The 22,035-nt window shown below is 39.0% G+C and overlaps 1 long non-coding RNA gene across 4 annotated transcripts in view; it reads right to left on the reverse strand.

Annotated features, from left to right (window-relative positions):
- Positions 1-22,035, reverse strand: part of LOC105375974 (uncharacterized) — a 248,630-nt gene that overhangs the window by 40,960 nt on the left and 185,635 nt on the right. For all 4 annotated transcript variants that reach the window (XR_007061893.1, XR_001746618.1, XR_929476.2 and 1 more), the window contains exon 3: positions 2,627-2,752. This is a non-coding gene — a long non-coding RNA (uncharacterized LOC105375974). The remainder of the gene's footprint in view (positions 1-2,626; positions 2,753-22,035) is intronic.

Genomic DNA, 22,035 nt, shown 5'->3' on the forward strand with positions numbered 1-22,035 from the left:
TCCTAAGGACCTTCTGTAAGGCAGGTCTGATAGTAACAAATTCCCTTAGCATTTGCTTTTCTGAAGATAATCTTATTTCTCCCTTGCTTACAAAGCTTAGTTTGGCTCGATCTGAAATTCTTGGTTAGAGTTTCTTTACTTTAAGCATGCTAAATATAGGCCCCCAGTCTCTTCTGGCTTGCATGGTTTTGGTTGAATGTTCTGCTGTTAGCCTGATTGGGTTCCCTTGGCAGATGACCCATCCCTTCTCTCTAGCTTCATTTAACATTTTTTCTTTCATGCTGACATTGAATGACTATGTGTCTTGGGGATGGTCATCTTGTACAGTATCTTGAAGAGGTCCTCTGCATTTCCTGAATTTGAATGTTGGCCTCTCTGGAAAGGTTGGAAAATATTTGTGTATAATATCCTCAAATATGTTTTTACAAGTTGCTTGCTTTCTCTCCCTCTCTTTCAGGAACATGAATGAGTTGTAAATTTAGTCTCTTTACATAATTCAATATTTCTCAGAGGTTTCATTAATTCTCTTGTATTCTTTTCTATTTATTTTTGTCTGACTGAGTTAATTTTGAGAACCAATCATTGAGCTCTGAAGTTCTTTTCTTAGTTGTTCTATTCTACTATTAATACTTGCACTTATATTCTGAAGTTCTTGCAGTATATTTTTCAGGTCTATCAGATCAGTTTTATTCTGTCTTAAAGTGACTATTTTGTTTTTCAGCTCCTGTATGGTTTTATTGTATTCTTTGAATTCCTTTCTAAGGATTGGGATTTGACTTTCTACTGAATCTTGATGATTTTCATTTTTATCTATATGCTGAATTCTGTATCTGTCATTTCAGCCATTTCAGCCTGCTTAAGAAACATTGCTGGAGCATTAATGTTTTTGACTAGAAGTAAGAGACGCTCTGACTTTTCAAGTTGCTGGAGTGCTTGCTCTGATTCTTTCTCATCTGTATGGGCTGATGTTCCTTTAATCTTTGCAGTTGCTGTCCTGTAGATGGAGTTTTTGCTTTTATTGTCTTTGATGCCCTTGGGGAATTTTATTGTGGTATAAGGTAGGTTCAGTTGACTGGCTTCAATTCTGGAAAATTTCAAGGGGCCAAGGCTCACTTTAGCACTCCTGGGCTGAGCATGTTCTCTGCTCCCTAAAGGTTAGAAATATCTTTTGCTAGAGGGGCCAAGGTGTGACCAGTCCACTAGCCCCAACACTCTCACGGGACAGGGGGAGGGGTGCTGTTAAAAGCACTTCATAGAGATGGCAGCAGCGGGAACCATGATCACTCACATGTGCCAGCAGTTGTAGAGGTTTGACAGGGTACACACATGTTGGTTGGGGCGGGACAACAGTGGGAGTGGGGCAGTGACATCCAGGAATGCATTTGTGCTGGTGGCAGCAGCACAGCAGAGTGCCTGTGCATTGTCAGGGGCAGGGCAATGGCAGGGTGGTGGTATCTTTGCTTGTGTTTACACTGGCAGTGGCTGCAGTGCAGCAGGGCAGGGGTTCCAGTGTTTGTGCATGCACTCATGCTAGCAGCAGCAACAGCAGCACGGTGGGCTGCCTGTTCCTGAGCAGGAGTGGAATGCTGGTGGGTGTGGGCAGGGCAGTCAGGTGCAATTGTGCTGGCAGTGGTGGGTTATGTGCATACATGCATATCATTAGAGGAGATGCAATATCTGCCAACACCCTGACACAGAAAAGTGGTGAGTGAGGGCCATGCGGAAGTGTAAACCAGCAAAACAGCAGGGGAAAGCTGTGGTGAGGGGAGGCTCTGGGTGGGTTGGTCATGTTGGCAGGCACCAGTCTGCTTGAGCTTTCCAATGCTAAGGTGAAGTCAGCCAGCAAAATTGCTATGATGAGAATCCCGGAAAGAATGGTGGTTGGGAGCCGGGCGCGGTGGCTACCTTCCGTAATTCTCAGCACTTTGGGAGGCCGAGGCGGGCAGATCACAAGGTCAAGAGATGAGACCATCCTGGCCAACATGGTGAAACCCCGTCCCTACTAAAAATACAAACATTAGCTGGACGTGGTCGCGCATGCCTGTAGTCCCAGCTACTCAGAGGCTGAGGCAGGAGAATTGCTTGAACCTGGGAGGCGGAAGTTGCAGTGAGCCGAGATCGCGCCACTGCACTCCAGCCTGGCAACAGAACAAAACTCCGTCAAAAAAAAAAAAGGTGGCTGGGCATCTGAGGCTGTGCTGCAAGCAGATATGGCCAGGCTGGAGCCCCAGAAGAGGTCAGATCAAACTTTCTTTGTCCCATGGGCAAGACCACCCTGTTCTGTTGATGCCCGGCAGTCATTCAAAGGCTAAAGCCACCTAGACGAGCCTGGTAAGCCTGGGGATATGGGCATTCTTGGCCGTGCTCCACTTCAGCAATTCCTACACCAAACTCTCTGGGCTTCACACATACGGGAGTCCTACCTATGCCAACTCTCTAAGCATCTGTCTGTGCTAGCTGAAGTGTCCATGGGGATTGTGGATTCTCCTGCAGCTAGGATTCTGGGGGTCCATGCTGAGCGCAGGCCACTCCTCATCTGAGCAGTCCAAGAGTGGGTTATGGTGGTCAACAGCCCCAGCCAGGATTCCCAGCTTCCTCCCCTTTCCGTACAGTGACTGTGTCTTACCTCTGTCCACTCTCAATGCCTTCCCCACAAAGATCTGCTCAGAATGTGCCAGTCTTCCTGAAGTCTCATCCTTTTGGTAAGAAATGATCCACCTGGCTGTGCCTGGTTAGCCATCTTGACTTCCCCCTATATTTTGAATGAGAAAAGGTTTCTAATAATTCAGAAAATTTTCCAGGGAAATACAATTTTTCCTGATACTGATGAGAATCAAGCACAAGTCTTTAGGCTTCAAATTCTACTCCTCTCCACTAATTTACATATCATCTAAAAGTGTGACCACAGGTAGTCCTGCAAAATGACTGTTTAGAAATAACCTCAGTTAGGTTATTTCTAACTGAGTGTCACAGAAAATGACAGAGTAGGAATTTCCAGGACTTGGTCCTGCCACCAAAATAACCATTTAACAGGAAAAAAAAAAAAAAAAGAAGACTATCATAATAAACTACTTGAGAACTCCGGAATCTAATTAGACACAGCAAGTGGGGAGTCCCTCATGAAAGAAAGCAGAGGCTGTTAAACTTTCATAAGGGAGCAGCTTGCTTGAATCAGGTATTTCCCCCTATTCTTTATCCTCCTAGCAAACATGGGATAGTTATCCTACTATGTCATCTGGTGTAAGGGTGGACAAGTAACCTTCTTTACTTCCAATAATTTAGAATTGTAAATTTTGGTCAGTCTGGTGTCCCTTAGGGGAAACAATGGAGACACTTGCCTACTTGCCTTTGTTTGAAACCCCTTAGGCCGCATTGAATTCCCAAGAGGCATCTATCCTAAGATTTAAAATGGCAAATATACCTTGTTTCGAAATCCAGATATTTAAGAAAATCTACTTCATATCACAGGCTGACTACTGAGATAATAGAACAAAAATTTCAGTGACCACATACAAGAAATTCAAACTTTGCGAAAATATTTTGAAAAAGTCACTATATCAGTGTATGAGTAAAGTCCTCAAAAAATAACAATGGCAATCTCTAAGGAGTGAGAGCATTGTGGCAGAAATGAAAAAAATGTAGAAAAATAAACAGTGTCTACGGGAACTGTGGGACACCGTCAAGCATACCAATATATGCATTAGAAGAGTCCCAGAGAAGACAGAGAGAAAGGGAAAAAATATTTTAGGAAGTAATAACCAAAAATTTTCCAAATCTGATAAAAACCATGAATATCCTTATAAGAAGCTCAGTAAATGCCAAACAGGATAAATTCAGAGATTTACATTACCATCAAATTACCAAAACCCTAAAACGAAGAGCTAGAGACCACACGGCAAAAAGAAATGACTCATCAGGTACAAAGTATGCTCCATAAAGTTAACAACTGATATTTTATCATAATCTCTGAGAATAGAAGCCTGTGGGATGGACTGTTTCAGCACTGGAAAAGAGCAAAAAACTGTCAACAAATAATTCAATATCTGGCCATATGATTCTTCAAGAATAAAAGGGAAATTAAGACATTCCAGATAAACAAGCTAAAGGAGTCTCTTAAACAAATTCTAAAGGAAGGTGTTCAGTATAAAATGAAACATGTTAGACAATAAATAAAAGACGTGAAGAAACAAAGAACACAGGTAAAGTTAATTATATAAGTAAATATAAAGCCAATATTATCATATGTTGGCTTGTGAATCCTCTTTTTTTATACAATTTAAAAGGAAAATATCCTAAACAATCATTATAAGTCTATGGTAATGTCCACTCACTGGAAAAATATGTACTCTGTGACAATAACAATATAAAACTGGAGGGACAGAGATGTGAAGGAAAAGAGTACTTGTATGCTATTAAAATGAAATTTGTATTATTCAAATGTGATTTTATTTATACGTTTAACATGTTGATTGTGCCTGTCAAGATAGCCACTAAGAAAATAAATTTTAGGCCAGGCGTGGTGGCTTATGCCTGTAATCCCAGCACTTTGGGAGGCCGAGGCAGGTGGATCACGAGGTCAGGAGTTGAACACCAGCCTGGCCAACATGGTGAAACCCCGTCTCTATGAAAAATACAAAAATTAGCCAGGTAAGGTGGCAGGTGCCTGTAATCCCAGCTACTCAGGAGGCTGAGGTAGGAGAATCGCTTCAACCAAGGGGACAGAGGTTGCAGTGAGCCGAGATTGTGCCACTGCACTCCAGCCTGGGCGACAGAGTGAAACTCTGTCTCAAAAAAAATGAATAAATAAAAATAAATTTTAAAGTACACATTTTTTTTTTTTTTGCTTCCCTGGGCCACATTGGAAGAAGAAAAATTGTCTTGGGACACATGTAAAATATACTAACCCTAATAGCTGATGAGCAAAAATGGAAAATCACAGAACATCTCATAATGGTTTAAGAAAGCTTATGAATTTGTGTTGGGCCACATTCAAAGCTCTCCTGGGCCACATGTGGCATATGGGCCCTTGGTTGGACAAGCCTGATGTACAGTAAAAGAAAGAAGAATGTGATGCAGGATTTTTGCTCCTTGAAGCTAGGTATGGGTTCTTGTCTCACAACCAGGACTAGTTAACTAAGATACTTGAGACCACCGAATGCAACACAGTGTCATTAAAAAAAAAAAAAGAAAAAAAAGAAAAAAAAAAAACAAAAAAACCCCAGCTTGGATGGCATCAACAACAGAAATTTATTTTCTCACAGTTCTAGAGGCTATAAGTCCAAGATCAAGGTGTCCTCAAGTTTGGCTTCTGAGACCTCTCTCCTTGGCTTTCAAATAGTCGCTTGCTTATTGTGTCCTCACATGGTGTTTTCTCTTTGTGGCTGTGCCCTTGGTGTCTCTCTATGCACCTCAGTCTCTTCTTATATGGTTACCAGTAAGGCTGGATTAGGACCTATCCTAAGGTAGGGTCCCTTTCACAGCACATGGGAATTCTGGGAGATGAAATTTGGGTGGGGAGACAGGCAAACAATATCATTCTGTCCTTGGCACCTCTGAATCTCATGTCCTCACATTTCAAAACCAATCATGCCTTCCCAACAGCCCCCCAAAGTCTTAACTCATTCAGCATTAACCCAAAAGTCCACATTCCAAAGTCTTATCTGAGACAAGGCAAGCACCTTCCACCTATGAGCCTGTAAAATCAAAAACAAGCTAGTTACTTCCTAGATACAAAAGGGGTACAGGTATTGGGTAAATACGGCCATTCCAAATCGGATAAATTGGCCATGACAAAGGGGTTACAGGGCCCATGCAAGTCTGAAATCTAGTGGGGCAGTCAAATTTTAAAGCTTCAAAGTGATCTCCTTTGACTCTAGGTCTCATATCCAGGTCACACTGTTCCAAGAGGTGGTTTCCCATGGTCTTGGGCAGCTCTGCCCCTGTGGCTTAGCAGGGTAAACCCTCCCTCCTGGCTGCTTTCACAGGCTGGTGTTGAGTGTCTGTGGCTTTTCCAAGTGCATGGTCCAAGCTGTTGGTGGGTCTACCATTCTGGGGTTTGGAGGATGGTGGCCCTCTTCTCACAGCTCTATTAGGCAATGCACCAGTAGGGGCTCTGTATAGGAACTCTGATCCCACATTTCCTTTCTTCACCCTAGCAGAGGTTCTCCATGAGGGCCCCATCCCTGCAGCAAACATTTGCCAAGGCACCCAGGCATTTCCATACATCTTCTGAAATCTAGATGGAGGTTCCCAAACCTCAATTCTTGACTTCTGTGCACCTGCAAGCTTAACACCATGTGGAAGCTCCCAAGACTTGGGACTTCCACCCTCTGAAGCCACAGCCCAAACTCTATGTTGACCCCTTTCAGCCACAGCTGGAGCAGCTGGGACACAGGGCACCAAGTCCCTAGACTGCGCTCAGCATAGGGACCATGTGCCCCACCCACAAAACCATTTTTTCCTCCTGGGCCTGTGATTTGAGGGGCTGCCATGAAGGTGTCTGACATGGCCTGGGGACATTTTCCCCATGGTCTTGGGAATTAATATTAGGCTCCTTGTTACTTATGCCAATTTCTGCAGCTGGCTTGAATTTCTCCCCAGAAAATGAGTTTTTCTTTTCTATCTCATAGTCAGGCTGCAAATTTTCTGAACTTTATGCTCTGTTTCCCTTTTAAAACTGAATGCCTTTAATAGTACCCAAACTACCTTTTCAATGCTTTGCTGCTTAGAAATTTCTTCTGCCAGATACCCTAAATCATTTCTTTCAAGTTCAAAGTTTCATTAATCTCTAGGGCAGAAGCAAAATGCCGCTATCTAGTCTCTTTGCCAAAACATAACAAGAGTCACATTTGCTCTAGTTCCCAACAAGTTCTTATCTCCATCTGAGATCACCTCAGCCTCGACCTTATTGTTCACATCACTATCAGCAATTTTGTTGAAGCCATTCAACAAGTCTCTAGGAGGTTCCAAACTTTCCCACATTTTCCTGTCTTCTTCGGAGCTCTCTCAAGTGTTCCAACATCTGCCTGTTATCCAGTTGCAAAGCTGCTTCCACATTTTCGGGTATCTTTTCAGCAATGCCCCACTCTTCTGGTACCAATTTACTGTATTACTCTGTTTCCACATTGCTGATAAAGACATATCCAAGACTGGGAAGAAAAATAGGTTTAATTGGACTTAGAGTTCCACGTGGCTGGGTAGACCTCAGAACCATGGTGGGAGGCAAAGGCACTTCTTACGTGGTGGTGGCAAGAGAAAATGAGAAGGAAGCAAAGGTGGAAACCCTTGATAAACCCATCAGATCTCATGAGACTTATTCACTATAACAAGAATAGCACAGGAAAGACTGGCCCCCATGATTCCATTACCTCCCCCTGGATGCCTCCCACAACATGTAGGAATTCTGGGAGATACAATTCAAATTGAGGTTTGGATGGAGATACAGTCAAACCATATCCATACCATAGTGTTTTTGTCACGATAGCGCTGTAGTGTAAATTGAAGTCAGGTAATGTGATTCCTCTACTTTTGTTGTTTTTTCTCAGGATGGCTTTGGCTATTCTTGTTATTTATGGTTACATATAAATTTTAGAATTTTTTTCTATTTGTGTAAAGAATGTCGTTGGTATTTTGATAGGGATTGCATTAAATCTGTAGATTGCTTTGAGTAGTAGGGACATTTAAAAAATATTGATTCTTTTAGTTTATGAACAAGGAACATCTTTTCGTTTTTTAATGTCCTCTTCAATCTCTTACATCAATGTTTTTTAGTTGTCATTATAGCTATCTCTCACTTCTTTGGTTAAGTTTATTCCTATTTTATTTCACTTATGGTTATTGTAAATGTGATTTTTTAAATTTTGTTTTCACATTGTTCACTGCTGACATGTAAAAATGTTACTGATTTTTCTATGTTGATTTTGTCTCCTACAACTGACTGAATTTGTTTATTAGTTCCAAGTTTTAGTTTTTGTGGTGGAGTCTTTAGGTTTTTCCAATATAAGATTGTATTGATAGATGCAGAAGGCAGATAAGAGGGAGAGTTCCCCAGAGAATCTTCAACTCACCTGCACACTGGAAAAATTGGGTGGAGCCAGAAGAATTTTGTGCCTTGTGCAGTGGGGATGGGCCTGGTCTCTTCAGCTTGGGTGTAGTGGCCTGGAATTCAATCTGTGAGGTGGGAGCCCATTGGCAATAACCCCTTTCACTTTCCTGAGAGTTTTTTATTTGTTTTCTTTTTTCCTAATAAATTCCACTCTACTCACCCTTCAATGTGTTCCCATTCCTAATCCTTCCTGGTTGTATGACAAGAATCGAGTTTTAGCTGAACTAAGGAGCAAATATTCTGCAACATTTTGGTGGCTTATGCAGGGGTATGAGAAAGAGTGAGTAAGATGCAAACCAAAAAAGCTTTTTCCCTTTCGCGTCTAAGACTTTTTGTCCTCAGACTTCTGAGGGTAAAGGAAATTGTGCCTCACTGCTCCCCTCCCTGTCAGTCCAGGGGTCAAGAATGTCAGCCTTTTTCTTTTCTTTTGGGACAGACAAGCAAATGGCTCCTCACCCCCAACCCCTTTTAGGCAAGGCTGGGGCACATGGCCCAAAGGCGCTGCATGGCAGACTGGCCAGCATTTCAAGCCATGCATCCACAGAGTCTTCCTCTCCCTCAGCTAAAGGGTCCAGCTCAGTCAGGCAGCGATTAAGTTTATCACTCTGTTGAAACAATCCGTTTATATAAGAATAAGACCTGTAACCACCTGGCAATGCTTTGGTTTAGCCTTTGTCATTTTACAGTGGCAGCTAGGGTTCACTTCTGGCTTAAGAAATTAGTCCTTTCTGGTTTGATATCTGCATGACCTTTTGCCATTTGTTGTTTATCTTCTCCTCCAAAAACTGCCTTGGTTTTTCCTTTCTCTGAGCCTTTAGTCATGTTTGAAAACCAGAAATATTGCAGCTAAAGTTGGATAACAAGGAATTTAAAAGGATTTCCTTAAAGAGCACACATCTTAATTAAAAGTGGATATCCAAGTTACAGGTATATTTAAAAGGCCTTTATGTTTTTTCTCTTCTTGGATCTTGTTTTGCTGGAAAAGTTTTTTTTCTCAGTTGACTTAATTATTTTTCTCCATTTTGACTTGACACTCTTAATGCACACATGAGAGGCTCTAAGATAACTTCTGTGGTCATGGGACTCTTTGGAATAAATAGAGAAGGTGCCACTGGTCCCGTTTTGGGAAGAAATCTGTTTTCTTCATGGAATCCCAGGAATTAAAATTGGATAGATCCATTTCAAAATCTGTTTTTGTCTCACAGTTATGCCTGTTTATTAGGCCCTAGAAACTACATGTTTTCCTCGGCCTGCCTCTTAAAGGGTTCCTCATGGAGGCCAATAATCCAATTAGGAGATTGGCCCATGAAAAATCATATAGCTACTGGGTCTTCTCTTGCCTGTGTAGTTATATGTGTGTTGTGTGATGATGTCTATAAAAAAAGGAGCTCTAATTAACTAGCCTAAAGGAAGATAAGTGATTGGATCAAATATTTTTTAAAACAGAGACAAAAGCTGTGGTACCTTTTAGCTCCTGTGACTTTAATATTTGAGAAATAAAAACAGCCTTAAATATTATTGGTGAAATGCAGATGTTGTCAAAATGTAAATAGGTAAACTAAATTATGCATGTCAGATAATAGGTTTGCAAAATGTTATAAGGTTATAAATTGCTTTTTATGTTTTTGAGAAATGTTTGACTTGCCTGCTTCACAATTGGAAAGGCTTGGGACATATGGAATTAACAGCACCCTTAATTATGCACCCTTAATTATGAGTCAAACCTTGGCTGCAATGCGCACATAATTTAAACAACTTACCAAGTTTGACATTAAAGTTAAAAATTGCTAGGAGTTACCACATAACATGTAATTGGGACTACTAAAAATAGATTTACATGTGAGGTATGTAAGAACATTAAAATGTGTTTTTAATTAAAGATTATAAGTAGGCATAGAAATGTAAATTGTTGCATAGGGTTAAAAATCATTTTGAAATAGATAGGATAAAGCTAAAAGTTCAAACAAGTTGTGGAAGGATTGTAAAAGTTAATCTAGCAAAGGAAATTCCATGTGTTAATATTCTGACTAAATTCAAAAAGGTATAATATGGTTTTTCTGTAAAGTGAGCACTGAAATAAAAACACAAGGTACTCTTTTGTTTTTTTTTTTTTTGAGGTGGAGTCTCGCTCTGTTGCCCAAGCTGGAGTGCAGTGGCGCCATCACGGCTCACTGCAAGCTCCGCCTCCCGGGTTCACGCCATTCTCCTGCCTCAGCCTTCCGAGTAGCTGGGACTACAGGTGCCAGCCACCATGCACAGCTAATTTTTTGTATCTTTAGTAGAGACGGGGTTTCACCGTGTTAGCCAGGATGGTCTGGATCTCCTGACCTCGTGATCCGCTGTCATCAGCCTCCCAAAGTGCTGGGATTACAGGCGTGAGCCACCAACAACAAGGTACTCTTAAGACAGTAATTTTCTCTTTAGCAAAATGTGTAAAGGTAAAAAGATTTATGTTTTTTAAAAATTTCTGAGTCATCATTTTGGCAAAATAAATAACTTATGGTAATCTGGAATTCTATCTTATAATATACAGTGTTTTAAATCTCGGACATTTAACAGGCTTCCCAAAATCAAACTTCAGTTTCAAAATTGTTTTTCTTTATGCCTGATGTTTGGATGCTACAGAGGGCCCCTGGAGCATCCATAAAAAATGTAAACAGGATTATTTGACATATTGATTATTTGACATACATGATATTGCCAAAGTGATGTTTAATCTTCTTCAGGTTATATTTTAGGAAATAATATTAATATATGCTCCAAAATTGTATGGAATTTCTGTAATTCTAATGCCTGAGTTTATGTTTCCAATCATAATTAAGGTTATTATGTTAAGTTATTATAAACCACAGAGATAACCAAATATCTTTGTCAATCATATTTTTGAGTGTAACTACCCTGAATATTTTGTTATTCACATACAATTGTCTTGTCTACATCTTCTTCAAAAGATGTTTTATAATCAGGTATAGAACTTTGACAGGTGCTCTCAAATGCAGGTTTCTGATAACTTTGGACATTGTAACATTGGAATAAAGGGAAAATGTACAGGACTCATGAAGAGCTGAAATGTTTATGAACATCAAGCAAAACAAGAGTTGGGCTGGGCGCGGTGACTCACACCTGTAATCCCAGCACTTTGGGAGGCTGAGGTGGGAGGATTACCTGAGATCAGGAGTTCGAGACTAGCCTGACCAACATGGAGAAACTCCATCTCTACTAAAACTATAAAAAAAATTAGCCAGGTGTGGTGGCCCATGCTTGTAATCCCAGCTACTTGGGAGGCTGAGGCAGGAGAGTCGCTGGAACCCAGGAGGCGGAGGTTGTGGTGAGCCGAGATCGCACCATTGCACTCCAGCCTGGGCAACAAGAGCAAAACTCTGTCTCAAAATAAAATAAATAAATAAATAAATAAATAAATAAGAGTTATCTGAATGGACTGAACAAATAGAAAACTGAAGCAATCTTTTCACTTTTGCTTAGAACATTGCTGATCCTTGTTTTGTTTTCCAGAGTCAAGGAAACTTATTTTGAGCTATTTATGGCCTTTAATATTTGAGTGAGTATACTCCCATGAACAACATTTGGAGCATAGTTGTCTCTCTCTCTCTGCTGGGCTTCTCTGGAATTTGGAAACTAGTTGTGAGTGCTATTAACTTATGGCAACAGGATGCAATTGGAGAAATAGATTATTTTACTAAAGTTTTGATTAGAAGGTTATGCTTCCCTTTAAGAAGACAAGCTTGACTTGCAGAGCCAATAAAAACCCCTTGGGAAGACTGGCCTCATACCTTGTCTACACAGTCCCTGTACAGGGTTCTTAACTTGTAGTGAGTAAATAATGTCACTTTCAAACAGGCCCAGGAACCTTATGGTCTTTGGACCTCAAGAAGAGAGAACTTTAGCCAACTCACAGGTATTTGAGGGTACAAACCCATAACTGGGCTCAGCTTTAAAAGGTCTTATCTGAGATTCTTTGTGGAACAGACTTCCATCAAAGCCAATCTAAAAGGCCCATGTAGAGATAATTATTTGTCCTGCAATTTATGCAAATAATCAGGCGAAGTGTAAGACTAAAGTCTATTTTTCCAATAACTCAATACTATGATGATTTGTTTTTAACAGAAATGAAGACTGGAGAGAGAGAAATTATGCTACAAATCTTATACATTTGTCATTAAATTCTAGACTCATTGGTTGTTTTTAAGTTCTTGCCTACAGTTTAAACTAACTCTGCTTATCCCTGTGAACCATCCAGTGATCTCCAACAGCAGCTTATAAGGAATAAAAAATGATGGGTAATGTAAAAATTGAGATCAATATTCTAGTTCTGAGCAATTATCTGCAAATCCTGTCTAGTGATGGGTCTAAATAGGATGCCCATCACCTGGAGGTTTCCTTTTTAGGAAAGTAAGACCAAGGGAGCTAGTCAAAGCCAAGCCCCATGCACCCAAATCTTAGCAAGCATAATTATAGTCACCAGTCATCTGCACATGTCACAGGACATCCTTTTCTCTCCCTTGTTGGAGGAGAACTGAATTCCCCAGCTTCATCTTAGCATTCAGCTTATAATAAAGAGTCCATGCAACCCCCTCCCTGAGACATGTTTTTGGTCCCAAACTCAATTCCAAGTTTCAGGTGGAAGCCCTAGGAAAGAGAACTGGATCAGAGGGATCCATAGGCAGATGATAATGGAAGTTAAAAGGCATAGTGCAGGTGAGCATGACTAATTTTTGCTCATTAAGCCAAGCTTCCCATTTCATGGATAAAGGTCATGCTAATATCCATGGCATAAATGAGGTCTAGGGAATTCAAAGGCTACTGACTGCAGGGGAGTTAGGGGATATGTTGGCATATCTGAGTATGGCCCTTCTGTTAACATGGGTGAAAGCCACTTTAACACCCATGGGCTGCACCCTATTATTGTCGCTTAGACTCGAGTATATAAGAATGAAAGAAAGAAAGAGGAATGCCTCACTTTCTCTCCATACATACCCCAGGTATTTGCTAGAAAAATAAGGAAACCTGGAAAGCATTACTTCCCTTTTTCTAGATTAGTAGCCATTCATATTCAGTTTGTACTTCTTTCAAATGCATCCTGAACCCCTCAGACTCCTTTGAAAAAAATGCCTCCTTTCTCCTTCTTCCTCCTCTGTCCTTTCCTCACTGATATGCTATTGTGTCTCTGTACTGTGGGACACTCCCCTCCAAACTGGAAAAAGTTAATTTCTCGGTTGGCTTAGGATTGGGCTCAGGGAAAGAAAACCCAGAAGCCCAACATGCCAACAAAAGGGTTAAAGTTTTTGTTTGTTTGTTTTATTTTTTTGCTCTGTTTTTTTTTTTTTTTTCTTTGCCAGTTAGGCTTTTGGCCTCCTTCTCCCTGTGAAAACTGGTGAAAGTCCTTGGGATTTTTGGGCTGTCTTTACTCCTCCTCCACTCATTTCATTTTTATACATGTCTTCAAATAACCCAGTTTGTCTCTCCTTGCATTCAGGCTTTTGAACTCCAAATGATCATGCAACAGGGCCTCAGATGAGGGCCCCTTTTGCCATGGACATTTGGATAGGCCACTGAGGGAGATCTGACTGCCTTTTTCCCAAAACAGCAGCCACTATTGGCAGGAAGCAGTTAAGATCAGTCTTTGCCCTTATCCTTATTTTTATTCTAATGGCAGTTAGATGTACTTTTTTAGGTGGAGGGATGATAAATGCAGGAGGCAGATAAGGGGGAGGGTGCTTGGAAAATCTCCAACCCTCCTGCACACTGGCAAAATGGGGTAAAACCATGGAAATTTCATGCCTTGTGCGTGGGGAAGAGCCTGGCCTCTTCAGCTCACGTGTTGTGGTCTGGAATTCGTGGAGTGGGAGCCCATTGGCAGGAACCCTTCTCGCTTTGCTGAGAGGTTTTCTTTTTTTCTCAATAAATTTTGCTCCACTCACCCTTCAATGTTTCCTCATTCCTAATCCTTCCTGGTCATGTGACAAGAACCCGTTTTTAGCTTAACTAAGAAGCAAACATTCTGCAAAAGTATCATCTGCAAGCAAGAATAATTTGACTTTTTTTCTTTCCAATTCATATGCCTTTTTTTTCTCTTATCTGATTTCTCTAGCTAGGAATTCCAGTAGTATGTTTAATCATGATGGAAGTGAGAATCCTTGTCATAGTCCAGACTCTAGAGAAAAGGCTTTAAGAGTTTATTTATTCAGTATAATACTACCAGTGAGTCTGTCATATATGGCTTTTATTGTGTAGAGGTATGTTCCTTCTATATCCGGTTTTTTGATGATTTTTATCATGAATAAATGCTGTTGAATTTTATCAAATGCTATTACAGCCTCAATTGAAATGACATATGAGGTTTGTCCTTCATTCTGTTGATAAAATGTATCACATTCACTGATTTACATATGTTGAGCCATCCTTGCATCCCTGAGATAAATCACACTTGGTCACGATGAATTATCTTTGTAATGTGTTGTTGAATTTGGTTTGCTAGAATTTTGTTGAGAATTTTTGCATCAATGTTCATCAGACATTTTGACCTGTAGATTCCTTTTTTTGACATGTCTGTCTGGTTTTTGTATTAAGGTAAAACTGGCCTCAAAGAATGAGTGAAATATTTCCTCCTTCTGTATTTTTTGGAATAATTTGAGTAGAATCAGTATTGGTTCTTTAGATGTTTGGTAAGATTCAGCAGTGAAGCCATTGGGTTCACTTTTCTTTCCTGGGAGACTCTTTAGTACTGTTTCAATCTTATTATTTGTTATTGGCCTATCCATGTTTTGGATTTCTTCATGATTCAATACTGGTACGCTTTATATGTCTAGAAACTCATCTGTTTCTTCTAGTATTTCCAATTTATTGGCATATAGTTGTTTACAGTACTCTCTAATGTTGCTTTTAATTTCTTTGGTGTCTGCTGTAATATTTTTTTACTTCATATTCTGTTTATTTTCTCTTTTATTTTTAGTCTGGTTGTAAGTCTGTTGATTTTATGTATCTTTTTAAATACTTGGCATCATTAATTTTCAGAGAAATGTAAGTCAAAACTACAATGAGATATCATCTTAGACCAATCAGCATGGGTATTTGCAGAAAGTCAAAAGACAACAGATCCTGGCATGGCTGTGGAGAAAACAGAAGGCTTAGGCCCTGTTGATGAGCATGTAAATTAGTTCAACTACTGTGGAAAGGAGTTTAAAGATTTTTCAAAGAATTTATAGCAGAGCTACCATTTGACCCAGCAATCTCATAACTGGGTATATATCCAAATGAAAATAAATAGTTCTACCAAAAAGACACATGCACTTGTTTGTTCTTTACAGTACTATTCACAAGAGCAAAGATATGGAATCAACCTAGGTGCCCATCAGTGGTGGATGGATAAAATAAATGGTACATATATACCATGAAATATACCATGGAATACTACACAGCCATGTAAAAATTATCATATCATGTCCTTTGCAGCAACATGGATGCAGCTGAAGGACATTCTAAGAAAACTAATGCAGGAACAGAAAACCAAAACTGCATATTCCCATTTATAAATGAGAGATATGCCAGGCACAGTGGCTCACACCTGTAATCCCAGCGCTTTGGGAGGCCGAGGCAAGTGGATCATCTTAGGTCTGGAGGTCAAGACCAGCCTGGCCAACATGGTGAAACCCTGTCTCTACTAAAAGTACAAAATTAGCCTGGTTTGGTGGCAGGCGCCTTTAATCCCAGCTGCTCAGGAGGCTGAGGTAGGAGAATCACTTGAACCCGGGAGGCGGAGGTTGTAGTGAGCTGAGATTGCACCATTGCACTCCAGCCTGGGTGACACAGCAAGACTCCATCTCAAAAAAATAAATAAATAAATAAAAATAAGAAACAAAATAAATAAAAGTGAGCTAAACACTGGGGACTCATGGGCATAAACCTGGCAAATACAGATAGTGGGGATTACCAGAGCAGGGAGGAATAGAGCGGGGCAAGTGTTGAAAAACTATTGGCTCTTATGCTCAGTATCTGCTTGACAGGATCAGTTGTACTCCAAACCTCAGCATTATGCAACATACTCAGCTAACAAATCTGCGTGTGTACCCCCCAACTCTTAAATTTGCTTTTATGAAGCTGTTTTCTAGATCCTGTAGGTGTTGTTTATTTTTTTAAATTATTTGTTCTCTAGATTCTTCTGCCCATGTATTTTCGGATAGCCTCTTTTCAAGCTTATTATTTTTTTCTTCTGCTTGAAAGTATCGTTGTGCTGCTGAGAGACTCTGATGCATTATTCAATACATGAATTGAGTGTTTTAGCTCCAGAATTTCTGCTCTATTTCTTAAAAAATCATTTAAAAATCTGTTAAATTTATTTGATAGGATTATTAAATTTTGTCCCTGTTTTACCTCAAATTTCATTTAGCTTTCTCAGAAACAGCTATTTTTTATTCTCCCTCTGAAAGGTCACATATCTCTGTCACTCCAGAATTGGGTACTGGTGTCTTACTTAGTTTGTTTTGTGATGCTGTAATTTCCTGAATGGTCTTCGTGCTTTTGGATGTCTTTCAATATCTGGGCATTAAAAAATTAAGCATTTATTCTCATTCTTGCAGTTTGGACTTATTTGCATTTATCCTCCTTAAGAAGGCTTTCCAAGTATTCAAAAGGAATTGAGTGTTGTGGTCTAAGTCTTTGGTCACTACAGCCATATCTGCATACAGGGTACCCCAAACCCAGTAATGCTGTAACTCTTGCAGAAGCAGCACTTTGGTGCTCCTGAGTAAGATTCAGGAGAATTCCCTGGATTACCAGGCAGAGTCTTTTTTTCTTTTCCCTTACTTTCCCTCAAACAAACAGAGTCTGTCTCTCCATGCTGAACTGCCTGCTGTTGGGGAAAGGTGATACAGGCACTCCCATTGCCACCACCACTGGGACAGTGCTGGATCACAACTGAAGCCAACATGGTATTAAGTCTCTCACAAGGCCCATAGCAGCTAATACCTGGGTGCCACCAATGTCCAGGCCCAAGAGCTCTTTGGCAGCAGGTGATGCATCCTGCCAGAGCTGTATCTCTCTATTCAGGGCAAGCAGGTTCTCTTTTGGCCCAGGGTGTATTTAGAAATGTTGTCTGGGAACTGTGTCCTGGAATTGGGAACTTTAGGAATATACTTGGTGCTTTACTTTACTATGACTGAGCTGGTACCCAAATTGTAAGACAAATACTTTTTTTTTTTTTAACTCTTTTCTTTCTTTTCCTCAAACAGAAGGAGTTCCTCCCAATGGAGAACTCCAGTGTTATCCAGGTAGTAGTTGCCAACTCTCAGTGGTAGCCAGGGAGTAGTTGTAGTAGTTGCTAACTCCCAGTGGCAGCCAGGGAGTAGCAGTAGTTTAGAAACTCCCCAGGCCTGCCAGTGGCAACTACTACCTGGCTACCACTGATGTTTATTCAGGGCCCAAGGACTCTTGAATCAGCAGGTGGTGAATCCTGTGAGGGCTGGTCTCTGCGTTCATGGCAATGGGTTCCCTTCTGGCCTAAGCTATGTCTGGAAATTCTATTCAGAAGTTAAGGTCTGGAATTAGGGACTTTAGGAGCCTGCTCAGTGTTTTATTTTCCTGTGTCTAAGTTGGCACCCAAGTTGCAAGACAAAGTCCTTTATATTCTTCTCTCTTCTTTCTTCAAAAAGAAGGAGTTTCACCCTGTGGCCACCACAGCTGAGAATGTGCTGGGTCAAACCTAAAGCCCGCACAGTACTGAGTCTCACACAAGGCCCATGGCAACTACTACCTGGCTGTTAACTGATGTTTATTCAAGGCCCAATAGCTCTTCTGTCAGCAAGTGATGAATCCTGCCAGAACTGAATCTTTCCCTTCATGTCATCGGGTTCCTTTCTGGCCCAGCATGAGTCTAGAAATATTATTCAGGAGCTAAGGCCTAGAATAGAGGCTTTAAGACTCTTCTTGGTGCTTCATTTTACTGTGGATGAGCTTTTATCCACGTTCCAAGACAAAGTCCTTTTTACAATTCCCTCTCCTTTCTTCTAGTAGAGGGAAAGTGTCTCTCCTGGAGTTGTGAGTTTCACTGTCCAGAACTGGGGGAGGGGTGGCACAGCACTTCCTTGGACATCTCAGCTGTTGTCTTACTAGGTCATGTGCTCCCCAAGTCCACTGGCTCTGAGCCAAGGACAGCACCAGGACTTGTCCAGGAATTGCAGTCCTTGTGGCCTAGACTGCCTTTTAAGATTATTTAGAATCACAGAGCACTTTAGCCCACAGTGGTGAAGCTAGCTGGAATTCAAGTTCTGCCCACTGGGAAGGACGATTCCTCTCTGTGTAGGCCTGGTGTAAATGTTCCCTCCTTGGGCACTGGATGAATTCTGCTCTATGCTGCTTTTTACTGTGACAGTGCAACACTGAATTCCAATGCAAAGTCACACAGTGATTTTTCTTTTCATTCCCCAAGTATTCAGATTCTCTCTTCATGCCATGTGGTGGCTGCCAGAGAGAAAAGTGGTGTCAGCAATTCAAGACTGTGTTTCCTTACTCTCTTCAGTGTCTCCTTCCTTGATATGATGCTAAAACCAGGTACTATAATTACTCACCTGATTTTTGGTTCTTATGAAGGTGCTTTCTTGTGTGTATAGTTGTTAAATTTAGTGTTCTGGGGCAGGAGGGTAATTCCTAAAGAGTTCTATTTGGGTATCTTGCTCCACCCCCTCTCTCTCTGAAATTTTTATAGCTATTATATTTCTTTTGCTTTTTTAATACAATTTTTTAAATGAACTTGTCAGTATCTACCAAAATAAAACCCTCGTGTATTTTGATTGGATTATACTGAATCTATATTATAAATATTCAGAGAGTTGATATTTTAAATATAATATATCTTCTAATTCCAACATATGGCATAAATTCATTTATTTAGGAACATTTTGATTTTCTTCATTAGTATTTGTTAGTTTTGAGCAGTATCTTGCATGTATTTTCTTAGCTTAAAATCTACATATTTCAAGTTTTTTTTGTACCATTTTAAGTAGTACTGTCTTTATAAATTGAAAAAAAAGTTCAACTAGTCGTTGCTAGTATATATAAATGCTATTTATTTTATTATACTGAACTTTTATCCTCCTACATTTATAAACTGACTTATTTGTTTTAAGATTTTTTTTATTTCTTTGGATTTACTATGTGTACAATTGCTTAGTCTATGTATACTGAAAATTTACACATTATAAACTGACTTATTTGTTTTAAGATATTTTTTGATTCCTTCGGATTTACTGTGTGTACAATTGCTTAGTCTATGTATATTGAAAATTTTATATCTTCCTTCCAAAGCAGAATGTCTTTTATTTCTGCTCTATGTCAAATTGGACTAGCCATGACTTCCAGTATAATTCTGAATAAGAGTTATAATCAGAAAAATCCTTTCCTTATTTCTGATTTTAGGGGGAAAACATTCAGTATTTACCATTATATATAGTATTTTCTGTAAGTTTTGTATAGATAGCATTTATAAGGTTTAGGAATAATCTTTCAAGTATTAGTATATTAAGTTTTTCATCAGGAATGGATGTTAAATTTTGTTGAATACTGTTTCTGCATCTGTTCAGAGGCACATGCAATTTTTATTCTTAGAGTCTTTAGATTTTTGAATGTTAAATCATTTCAATTGTATTTATCCTTGCTTTCCCAGGATAAATACCATTTGGTAATGACGCAGTAATATTTTCATATGTTCCTTCTTTGGGGTTGCTAATATTTTCTTTAAAAATTGTTTCTATATTAATTAGAAATATTGGTCTAAATCTTCGTTTTCCTATAATATGTTCTCTAGTTTTATTGTGTGGATTGTATTGGTCTTATAAAAAGTTTCAGAAAGCTCCCTTCCTCCTCTATTTTGTGAGATTATGTAAATGAATATTATTTCTTCTGTACATACTTTCCAAAATTTTTCTGTGAATCTACCTAGGCCTGAAGATTTTTTGTTGTTATTGCAATGTTTTAATTGCAAATTTAATTTCTTTTGTGGATATATTATTGGTGTGCTTAATTATTTATAAATTTTGATAAATAGCATCTTTCAAACAATGTGTTCAATCATAAGTTGTCATATTTATGGACAGAGATTTACTTGAGAAATGCCATTATTTTATTTTTTATTTATATTGGGCCAGCAGTGATATTTTTCTTTCATTACCTTGGTACTTTCTGTTCTCTTCTTTTCTCTCTCTCTATATATATTTGTTCTTGGTCATTTGGGAAAAAGCTGTCAATTTTATTGATTCTTTTACTGTAAACCAGATTTTTCTTTAGCTGGTTTTCTCTGTTGTTTTTCTTTTGTTCAATTTCATTTATATTTTTTATCTTGATACTTTTTTCCTTATTAATTTTGTTTTAATTTTCCATATTTTTTATTGTCTTAAGATAGAAGATTAGATTCTTGATTTAAGACATTTCTTTTTTTCTAATATAATAATGTAATGCTGCTATGGGCTGAATGTGTCTCCCCCAGAATTCATTTATTGAAACTGTAAACCCCAATTTAATGGTATTTGGATATGCAGCCCCTGGGAAATAATTAGGTCATGAAGGTTGGGCCCTCATGACAAGTTTAATGTGTTTAGATAAATAAACACTAGAGAGCTGAAGTTTTCTCTCTCTACTCTTTGCTATATGAAGATACAACAAGAAGATGGCTATTTGACAAGCAGAAAGATGATTCTCATCCAAACTCCACCACACTGCTACCCTGATCTCTTGACTTCCCAGCCTCTACCATTATGACAAATAAATTTCTGTTAAGTAACCCAAGCTATGGTTTTTTTACTGTAGCATCTAGTACTGACTTACACAAATGGTATAGAGTTTCTTCCTAGCACTGCCTTGGTAACATACCACAAATTTTTATACGATGTGCTTTCATTGTGTCCAGCTCAAAATATTTTCTAACTTCTAAATTAAGTTAGAAATTTTGACCAATGCATTATTTGACCAATGTATTATTCAAAGATCTGTTGTATTTTTTCCAAATAATTTGTGATTTTCTAGATGTCATTATTTACTGATTTCTAGTTTAATTCAATTATGCTCAGACAATAGACTTTATATGATTTCAATATTTTAAGCTAGATTTATAGGATTTTTTCAGATATGTATATATATTATGACAAACTGTTTTTGATGTTCACAAGGCAGCATAGATCAGCAGCTGATAAAGTGAACTTGGAACTCAAGAGAGAGGTTATAGAGACATGTTCAACTTTGGGACAAGAAGAAAGAGTTAATAACAGGTTTAAAATGCATTCAGAGGAGAATCTAATGTGGAATCAAGAAAAGCTTAAGAAATCCTACCTTTGACCATATTGGAATAAGAGAACTGGATGTATCTATCTACTTGAAACAAATAGAGAATAATAAAAACATAATTAGTTTTTAAAAGCTGGGAATTATTAAACAAAACATAATGACCCTGACAGATGCAACATATATGAGCTGAAACCTATAACTGCAACAATTTCATTCCCTGAGAGATTTTTCAAGCCACAATGCAATGAAAGGGAGCTTGGGCAAGTGAAGCAGATAAACTGAAAAAGGGTTAGACATCTAAGAGACAATGAAAGAGAAAGTAGCTAGAGTTTATAGATCAGGGTAGAAGAAAGGAGGGCTGCAGAGACAGAACTCAGGAGATAAACAAAGGATGTCCCTAGAATATTCATAAAAATATTAATAAGCACATGCATGTGGTGACAAAAGTATCTATGGCCAAGAAGAAAATCACACAAAATAAGAGGAAATGGTACCTGATTACTGACACAGAATTTCTAAAAATATATTTATTATTATTTTAAAATTTTTATTCCTGTTTGCTTCTTTCTACCAAACATTCTGGAAAACCTATAATTCACAGGCTATTGGGAAGAATATTTAAAAGAGAACAGTTAGCTCCAGAC

Source organism: Homo sapiens, chromosome 9 (assembly GCF_000001405.40).
Source record: "Homo sapiens chromosome 9, GRCh38.p14 Primary Assembly".
Lineage (NCBI taxonomy): Eukaryota > Metazoa > Chordata > Mammalia > Primates > Hominidae > Homo > Homo sapiens.